This window comes from Homo sapiens, chromosome 4 (assembly GCF_000001405.40).
Source record: "Homo sapiens chromosome 4, GRCh38.p14 Primary Assembly".
In the NCBI taxonomy this organism is placed as follows: domain Eukaryota; kingdom Metazoa; phylum Chordata; class Mammalia; order Primates; family Hominidae; genus Homo; species Homo sapiens.
Genome location: NC_000004.12, coordinates 77,423,979 through 77,433,705, shown reverse-complemented (window position 1 = coordinate 77,433,705; position 9,727 = coordinate 77,423,979). Strand labels below are relative to the sequence as shown.

The window sequence follows — 9,727 nt, the reverse complement described above, 5'->3', positions numbered from 1 at the left end:
TATGATTTATCTGGTTGTACCCTTGGCATAATGCCTATTTTTCCATGAGACCTCAGCAGAATTGCCTGAGAATCATGAGGGGCGTTTCTTTAGCCGACATCACTGTGAATTTCCTTGTATCACCAGAAGAGGGCAAAGGTGGATAAATTATGGGACAGCTGACACTAAAGGCTCAGACTTACAGAAGTCACTTTCATTTTCCTCTGCAAGGCTGGAACTGCTGCTCTTGGCATTCTTGAACCTTAGAAGTGGTATCAGATATTAAGAGGGTGTATCATGCAAGGTTTAACCAGAGAAACAGAACCAGGAGATACATATTAATACATGTTGAGATTCATTGCAAGGACTTGTTTTATGCAATTGTGGAAGTTGGCAAGGCAAGCCCATTATCCACAGATAGGGAAGGCTTTCAGGAGGAACAGGCAGGAACTCAGGGGCTGCTGAAACTTCTGACCACAGCAGAATGTCTTCATTAGGGAAGCCTCAGCTCTGTTCAGTCCTTTCAAATGATTGGATTAGGCCCATAAACTTTTCTGGGAGAATATCCCTTACACTTCAAGTCAACTAATTGTGAAGTTTAATCATACCTACATGACACTTCTAAAGCAACACCTACATTAGTGTTTTTAGAACTGGGGACAGTGGTCTGGCAACGTAGGCATATCAAAAAATCATTACAGTCTACCCTTATCAACTTGGCACCCTTAGGCCTCACATTAAGACACAGTTAATCTCCAAATAGATAGTCAATTCTGCCTAATATAATACAGCTGTCCCGTGTACAACTGAAAACACAGTAACCCTTTCCCCAAAAGAGGGCGCAAGTTTACTTGGGTACAGTTTACTCTTCTTTAATATGTGATAGCTTGAATACTACCATAACAAATACTAGGTCAACTAGTATTAACATTTATATTAGACTGTAAGAAGATGAGACACAAATAGTTACTCTATATGCAAACATTCCTAACAAATATTTGTAACTGTCAGTGTCTTTGTTTCTACAACTAGTCAGATGGTCAGAGCTAGTATTTATAACCACCTTCTGCCAACCCCCCCTTCCATATTTCCTTTACCTCCAGTAAGTACTTCAGCAGGCTGTGGTTCTTTGCCGTATTGGGTAACCCAACCTTTCATTCCTGAAAGGTGTGGACCATTAGCAATCCCTTCTGAATGGAGTGGGTATGGTATTCACTTGACTGATCACAAGACATGGTGGTGCCAAGAGACACCCTAAGGGATCTTGGGTATTCCAGGCATATTAGACCTTACCTCCTTGTGTAGCAGTCCAGTTTCCCCTTGGTTGTCAGGAACAATCGCCCTAACCAGTACAGCAACTCCTTTACTTTTGAATCAGAGGTATGAGGCAGCCGGCCATCTCAACTTTAACAGAGTCATTATTTTGTCTCCTGGTAGAGTCATTCCTCCCTTAGGCTCTGCTGTCTAGGGGTCTTAGTTCCAAACTCCTTGGGAATAAAACAATTTAGTAGATCACTAGGGGATAATAGTAAAGTTATTTGTATTTTCACCCCTTAATTCTTACACCCTTGAAACCTGGTTATGGGAGAAACAGTTATATTGGACAGTGATTTAAAGACTACATAGAATCCTAGAAGCCTTAGCTTGAGCCCTGCAAGGTATTGCCAATAGCTGACGCCGTAATTTAGTTTTCAAAAGGCCATTTCCACCTTTCAGGCCAGTCCACATACCTCTCCCTGATACCTTATTGTATCCAGTTTTCTAATTTTATTCCTTCTACACTTGTATTCCTTCTACACCCCTGACCATTCAGCCAAAACATTGGCCACAGCTTAGGAACTATTACAGATTCTTACCTCAGGCCCTTTCCCCTTCCAGGCAAAATGAACAATCAGGTTTACTGTTCAAAGTTCTGGCTGCAGAAAGGATTTTCCTTCATCAGCATTCTTTAAGGATGTCCCAGAAATAGGCTGTAGTGCTGCAGCTGTCTACTTGTGATGCCTGTATATCATGGAGAGTCATTTGTAAACTGAGCCGGAGTTCTCTCTTCTACAGTCAACTGCTCATATAAAAATCTTCATGAGCCCATAGTTATGAGCTGGGAGAAGGTAATGTAGGATGGGAACAGAAGCTCTGAACATTTGGATCAATTCCTCATGCAAATTGGGCTTGTGCAGACCTTGAAGACACAATCTCAAATATACTGCTCCCATTTATTAATGAAGTGCTGCTGTGTATATCCAACTTTGTAACTGTGGGGCATACACTACCCAGTTCCTCATGGGCATCTCAGGTCACACAACAACTTGGTGACACACGATTAAGCATTCAGTCTCTACAAGGTCCTGTAGCAAGCGAAAAGTTGTTTCTAAAAATAAGTTATCCACAGGCAATAGCAGGGCTTGCTTAAAATCCTGACTCAGTGATTTATCTATGGGAGGTCTCCTCAAGGCTTCAAACAGCATCCCTATCTGCCACTGATACTTTCATCGCCACAGGATCTGCTAAGCCATATGGCCAGTGGCAAAGCACCTTGAATGGTAGCAGAGCCTTCTCTTGTTCTGGGACCTATTCAAAGCTTATAGCTTTGAGTAACTTGGTAAGTGAGCTGGAGTAGCATACCTCAGTAAGATATGTTTCTGCGAAGATCCGAGAAGGCCAATTAGGCATTGTGCCTCTTTGGGCAGTAGGAGGAGCCATTTGCAATAAACTTTTGCCTTAGATGTACCTAAGGTGCCCCATACCACTGGGCCTTTGGAAATTTCACTTAAGTGAATGCCCTTTGATTTTCGGTGGCATTTATTTTCTAGTGTCATGCAAATGTCTTAATCCTATGTCTAGATTAGTTACTACTTCCTGATCACAAGGCCCAATCAGCATATCATTAATATGATTAACCAGCATATATTATGGAAAGGAAATGTAATCAAGATCTGTGGACTATGACATAGGGATAGAGTTGATACCCTAAGGTAGAATCGTGAAAACATATTGTCATGCTAGCTGAAAGCAAATTGCTTTTGATGGTTTTTACTAACAGGTATAGAAAATGTATTTGCCAAATCAATAGCTGCATACCAGGTACCAAAAGGTTGTATTAATTTTCTCGAATAACAAATCACATCTTCAACAGTAACTAGAGTCACCACTTGACTAAGTTTGACAATCCTGAACTGTCATTCTCCAGAATCTGTCTTCTGCATAAGCCAAATAGGCAAGTTAAGAATGTGGCAAGAAGCAGTATCCCTGCAACTTTCAAGTCCTTGATATTGGCACTGTTCTCTAGAATATGGTACTGCTTTTGGTTCACTGTTTTTGTAGGTAGAGGTAGTACTAATGACTTCCACTTAGCCTTTGCTACCAAAAAGTCTTCATTCTACAGGTCAGGGAACACACAAGGGGATTCTATTAGTTGCTGGGTATGTCTGTTATAAATATACATTCCAGACTGGGGGAATAACCACAGGATGAGTTTGGGGACCCACTTGACCCACACTGTGAATTGACCCTTAGCTAAAATTCTATGACCTGACCTTCATAAGCCTCTCCCTTCTGTACTGCAGTGATATTTTGGGTTTACAGGAGTTACTGTCAGTTCATAGTGTCTAGTTATCCCTGAGAAGCCTGATTATCTTCCTTTCCCTAGTGCATCGTCACACTGATAAGCCCTTTTGGGGAAGGCTGGAAAAAATATTAACAGTATGAACTTTTAGTCATACAGCAATATCATTCCTCAAAGAGACCAAGTCTCCCCTTCAAACGATTCTTGGTCTGAACTAGTTGATGTTTGGGAATTGATTGAGGGGCTGTGACTTTTGCTGATTCAAGTTAGACCATTTACTAGAACTCTTACTTATGCTGTTCAAGAATTTACTTTTCTATTACTTTTCTAGGGATATCGTGTTCAATCAGTGAATAGCATGGGTCTCCGAGTCAGTCTATTCTGATTACTGCTTTGGTTTTACACTAATTATTCCTGCCTGTCTCTGGTGTTTAAGTACTACCACCTAGCTTCTCCTACCCTAAGATTCCATTATCCCTATTGTATTTAAGGGTGGCAGTTTCATGGTAGCAGTTCCCAGTGTAATTTCTGACCTACAGAGAATGACAACCAAGCTCTTAGAAGGGTGCTGGGACACTCAAATTTCTCAAAGTAATAAAAAGCAGGTCCTCTAGACCCTCCTGGGGTAGGTAAAAGGGTCTTATGTGACAAATCCATTACAGGATTCCTACCTCCCTAAGCCTTCTGATACCCTTCCTCTAGAGGAGGCCCACACATGTCTAGCATTTCAACTTCATTTAGTGTAGGCCACCTTTGGGTCCACATTTTAAACAGACAGAACACTTTATAACCCCTAAAGCTAAAATAAACCTAGAATCTGTGCTTAATGGACACATGAATAAATTTAGCTTGATCCAACTTTATATTCTTTTCATCATGACCCCTCTCTGAAGATTCATTCCTACATATTCCCTGTATTTCTGTATAAAAATAAGGAAAAGTCATGCAGCTATTTTGAGATTGTGCATCTCCTCATGGGTCATACTTTGTACTTCACCCTTTAGGAGCTTTTGGAACATGAGTCTAAGTCTGGAAACAGATGCCAGGAATATACCCTAAGGAGAATCAGTGGTGCCTTGCAAAGCAACAACCTCAGACAATGGAGAGCTAACCACCCTGGGCAGGGGTAGAAGTGCTGTTTTTACCAGCCAAGGAAAATCCACAGAATTTAGGAATCTGATGTCCCCAGCTTCATTGGAATCTGCCCAAATTTCTCTATTCAGAATCCTATTTCTTTTCAATCAATGCTCTCACTTAAACAGAAGTCATCTGATGAGGCTGGGAATCCAATTCACATCGGAATTCAATCACTCACTGGATGTGATACTCTGGGTTTGACTTTTGGAAATCTTGACCCTGCAGCTATAGCAGATAAAGGGTCATTTCAGGACAGATATGAAAGTTCAGGTTATTTATACAGAGATTAAGCTTAGAATTTGAAGGCTTAAGCTCAGCCTTTTCTTTCCCAACTTTCTCCAAGGCTGTTATAAGCATTCAGCCAATCCCACTGCACTTATTTTGTTTAAAAGGTTCTAAGGTAGCAGATAAATAACTTTATCTATAGGTTATCAAATGGTGCTACATTGCAATTCTGGGGGCTGGTTAGACAAGTTTGAAGTCTGTAGGGCAGGCTTTCAGGAAGCGCAGGCTTGAACTCATTTGCAGATTAACCTGCTGTCATCAGCCAGAATCTCTTCAGTAGGGAAGCCTCTGCTCAGCTCTTAAGGCCTTCCATCTAGTTGACCCAGGCCCAGCATATTGTACAGGATAATCTCCCTAACTTAAAGTCAACTGATTATAGGCTTTAATCACATCTACAAATTACTTTTACAGCAACACAAATTGACTGGAAACTACAGCCTAGACACACTAATACATCAAATACCATCATACAAGTCAGGGTAATCACTTTTTCCAATACTATAGAATACTACTGAATGAAATGCATCCATTTATCATTGCACATATTGAAGGTCCATAGTTTGGTGTGGAGCCGGGTAGTAGAGGATGAGAAGTAGAAAAGTAGAGAAGTAGAGAAACCACTTTAGGGTTTGAGTCAGAGAAGAGGAAAAGGGCAGTGGCTAGAGGGCAGCATGAGATCAAGGGTGGTGCTTCTAAGATGGGAGACAGGCTACTATGGCTTGAGTATGTCTCCTCCAAAGTTCACATGTTGAAACTTCATGACCAATGTGATACTAAGGGGTGGGGACTTTAAGAAGTGACTAGATCACAAAGGCTTCTCCTTCACGAATGGAATAAAGGCACCTCTAAAGGAGGCTTTACTTAGCATCTAGTACCTCCTTTCCCCTCTACCTTCTGCCATGTGAGGCTACAACATTCCTCCCCTTCAGAAGATGTAGCAAAAAGGTGCCACGTTGGAAGGAGAGACACTGCCTTCCTCCTCCCTAGACACCAAATCTGCTGGTGCCTCTATCTTTGACTTCCCAGCCTCCAGAACTAAGGAAAAAAATTGAGATGGCATCTTGTTTTTGCCCAGGCTAAAATGTAGTGGGGTGATCATGGTACATGGCCTTTACCTCCTGGGCTCTAGCGATCCTCCAGCTTCAGCCTCCCAAGTAGCACATACCACTGCACCTGGATATTTCTTTTTTTTGTAGCGCTGGGGTCTTTGTTGCCCAGGCTGGTCTTGAACTCCCAATTTTAAGCAATTCTCCCACCTCAGCCTCCCAAACTACTAAGATTACAGGCATAAACCACTGTTTGTTCTTTATAGGTTACCTATGTTCTTCATAAATTACTCAGTCTGTGATATTGTTATAGCATTCTGAATAGTCCAAAATTGATACCAGACAAGTAGCATGTTATAACAAACACTTAAAAATACAGACACAGCTTTGGAACTGGGTAATGGGTAGCAGCTGAAACAGCTTGAGTGCTGGAAAAGGCCTGCATTGCCATGAACAGAGAAGTAAGGGGAGATTCTGGTGGCAGCTCACAGGAAAGAAGACAGCTTTCATCTCAGAGGTGATCTAAGTGGTTATGAATGGAATGTTGGTAGAAATATGGATAGTGATTACTATTTTGATGTCTCAAATGAGAAAGTACTGGAAACTGGAGGAAAGCTCATCCTTGTTATATCATGTAGCCAGGAAGTTGGCTGAATTTTGTCCATGCCCCAAGACTTTGTGGAAGGCAGAAATTAGAGCAATAAACTAAAGTATTTGATGGAAGAACTCTAAGCAGTAAAGTCTTGAAGGTGCTGCATGGCTTCTCTTACCTGCTTATGGAGAAATCTAGAAAGATGGAATTCATGATTTAAAAGAAAGCAGAAAATAAAGATTAGGAAAGTTTCATCCTGGCCATGTGAAATATTTAGAGACTGGTTAGGAGAGAAAAAAAGGGTGGGGCCAAGCAATTGTTTGATAAGGAGATTAGTATGGATAAAAACTACGTGCTGTTCATCAAGATAATGGGAGAATGACCCCGAAGGCATTTTGGAGATTTGTGCTGCCATGCCCATCACAGGCTCCCAGGGTACCAGGGCCTTGAGGGCAGAATGGTTAAGAGAGGTACCCAGAGGACCTGTGAGACCTCAGAGCTCGTTGTCCAGGGCTGTGTCAAGTCTGCCCCCTGTATTCCAGGGCAGTGCTCCTTGACCATTTCAGCTGTAGCACAAGCAGTGAAATTTGGCAGTATCCATGTGGTGCTAACTCTATATGGAGTGTAGGAGCTGTGGAGGCATAGCTACCTCCACCTGGATTTCCAAGGATGCCTCAAAAAAACCTCGAAGGTGGGACCACCACCAAGTGTCCTCATGAGAACAATGCTTAGTGGAGCCATGGGGACTCTTGGCAGTGGTCCCACCTTTAAGGATCTCCAAGGTTATTACAGAACACCCTAACTAGGAGAGTGCCTACTGGAGTCACGGGGGTGAGGCAGTCCCAGAGACCCCAGAACTGCACACTCTGTATGCAACTACAGCCTGGGAGACCTGCAGGCACTTGACTTTAACCAGGGAGCTGCTGCATGGGCTGAACCCAGAAAAGCCATGGGGCCATCGTCCCCACTCCATATCCAGTGTGTCTGGAAGTCATGACATAAGAGTCAGAGAAAGAAAAAGACTATGGCAAAGTCAACAAGGGTTATTAAGGTATTCCATAAAAAACGTTTAGGATTTTATGTCCTGAAAGACCTCCAGAAGCAGAGAGAAGCACACACATTTCCACACTTGGGTTCTTCCCGACTCTCCTAGGTTCCATCAGAGCAGAATAAGTGCCAGTGTTCTGCCAACCCAGGAACAGGCCCTGCAGGTGCAGTGAGAAGAATCCCAGGAGAAAACTCAGGAATAAAAATGGAGAAAGTGACACTTCAGACTGAAACTACCAGAAACATCCAGAATGAAGGAGAAGAAAGCAGCCCAGGGACCAGAAAAGCCCTCAGTTCAGTTAATTAAACCATGGAATGACCAGGAAATCCAGAGTTTCCTGCAAGAATGGGAATTTCTTGAGCATGAAGTATACAGGGTATCACATAGTATCAAAAACAATTACCCGGCGTCTCAAGCAGAGGGGTATGAAGAAGAGCTAGCAGGAATGTCTCCAGATGCTGATAAGCTTGCAGGACTTATACTTCACTATTCATGAGGCCAACCAGAGGCCAAGGTGCCAACCCTTGCCATGTCCTCATGGAGAGGGCTGCCGGGCCCATCCTGCGGACTCTGGCCGAGCAACAGCTGAAAGGAGTACTCAGACACAAGTATCCAGTGAAAGAGTGGGCTAGGGGACTGCCGGCACTAGGGGCCAAAGAGTTAGCAGTGTGGATAAGCTGGAGAAGCTTGTATTTATTCAGTACAGATTTAATGACAAAGGCCTGGAGCCAACACAACCTGTGGATAATTAACATTGTCGTTCCCCCCTTGCAGGGAGCAGTCTTGCGCATGGATGACCAAAGGTTGGTTTCCCGACAACATGAATAAACTTATCTAGATAAACTTCCCTACATTCCCTTGCACCTACTTCTTGCCCTCTGCCTCAGAGTAAGAGAATTAGCTGCCTTCAGCTTTTATTCTCTCCCAAAGCTTTGCAAAACCTCCTGACCTGTCAAGAAGGTTTGTGTCTTTCCCTATAACTTACAACTTTTCCCACCACCCTGACTGATCTCCTTCAGAGGCTCTGCACAGGATTCTGGGATACAGATGGAAGATCAGCATCTTCTCTGGTCCTCCCTGTGCAGATGTGGCTGACCTCACACCTCCCCAGCACCAGCCTAAGGCCTGTGGCATTCCTATAGCCTTTCAGGAGCCAAAGTGGACCCCAATACCTGTGATCTATGTGGAAAATCCTCAGGTATCCAGATGGGAGCCCTGGAACATGAACCCGCCATGGTCAGTTCCATATGTGTATCCTGCCTTTCAGCAGCCCTGGGCCCCCCACCACAGTGGTCCATCTCTGCTGACTAATCCAGATCTTGAATACAATTAGAATCTGGATCCTGACTCTATCAGAAAGATGAAAAATAGCACAATCTGTGTGTGTTGGTACATGACTCCTTCCTCTCCTCACCCAGTGTGATGAGAATAAATGTGAAATAAATGAATGACTGTGACCTCAAAAAAAAAAAGATTTTATGTCCTGTTGATGTTCCGTTCTTACTTGTTGAGTTTTAGACTTACTTGGGACCTGTTAAAAACCCTTTCTTACCTATTTCTCCCTTTTAGAATAGAAATATCTGTCCTGGATATTTCCCATTGTGTTTTAGAAGCATGTAATAACTTTGTTTCACAGATTTATAGCTGGAATTTTTCTCAGGATGAAACACACCTTTGAGTCTTATCATATCTGATTTACGTGATATCTAGATGAAATTCTAGACTTTACAGATGATACTAGCAAGAGTTAAGACTTTGGGGGCCATTGAGATAAATGAATGTATTTTGTATGTAGGGAGGGGACATAACTTTTGGGGACCAGGGGTAGAATACTACAGTTTGAGTATGTTCCCTCCGAAATTCACATGCTGAAACTTAATGGCCAGTGTAATCGTTTACCAATGGTAAATGATTCATCTCTCAAATGGTAGGGCATTTGAGAGATGAATAAGCCATGAGAGCTCCTGCCTCATGAATGGAGTTAAGGCTGTTATAAAGGGGCTTCCTTGGAGCATTAGGCTTTTTGCCCTTCCACCATGGGAGGACAGAGCATTCCTCCCTCCAGAAGATCAGCAACA

The 9,727-nt window shown here is 42.8% G+C and overlaps 1 pseudogene; it reads left to right on the top strand.

The window, feature by feature from the left end:
- The first annotated feature begins 7,853 nt into the window (after positions 1-7,853).
- Positions 7,854-9,031, top strand: LOC124900720 (putative uncharacterized protein MSANTD5; annotated as a pseudogene).
- The last annotated feature ends 696 nt before the right edge of the window (positions 9,032-9,727 follow it).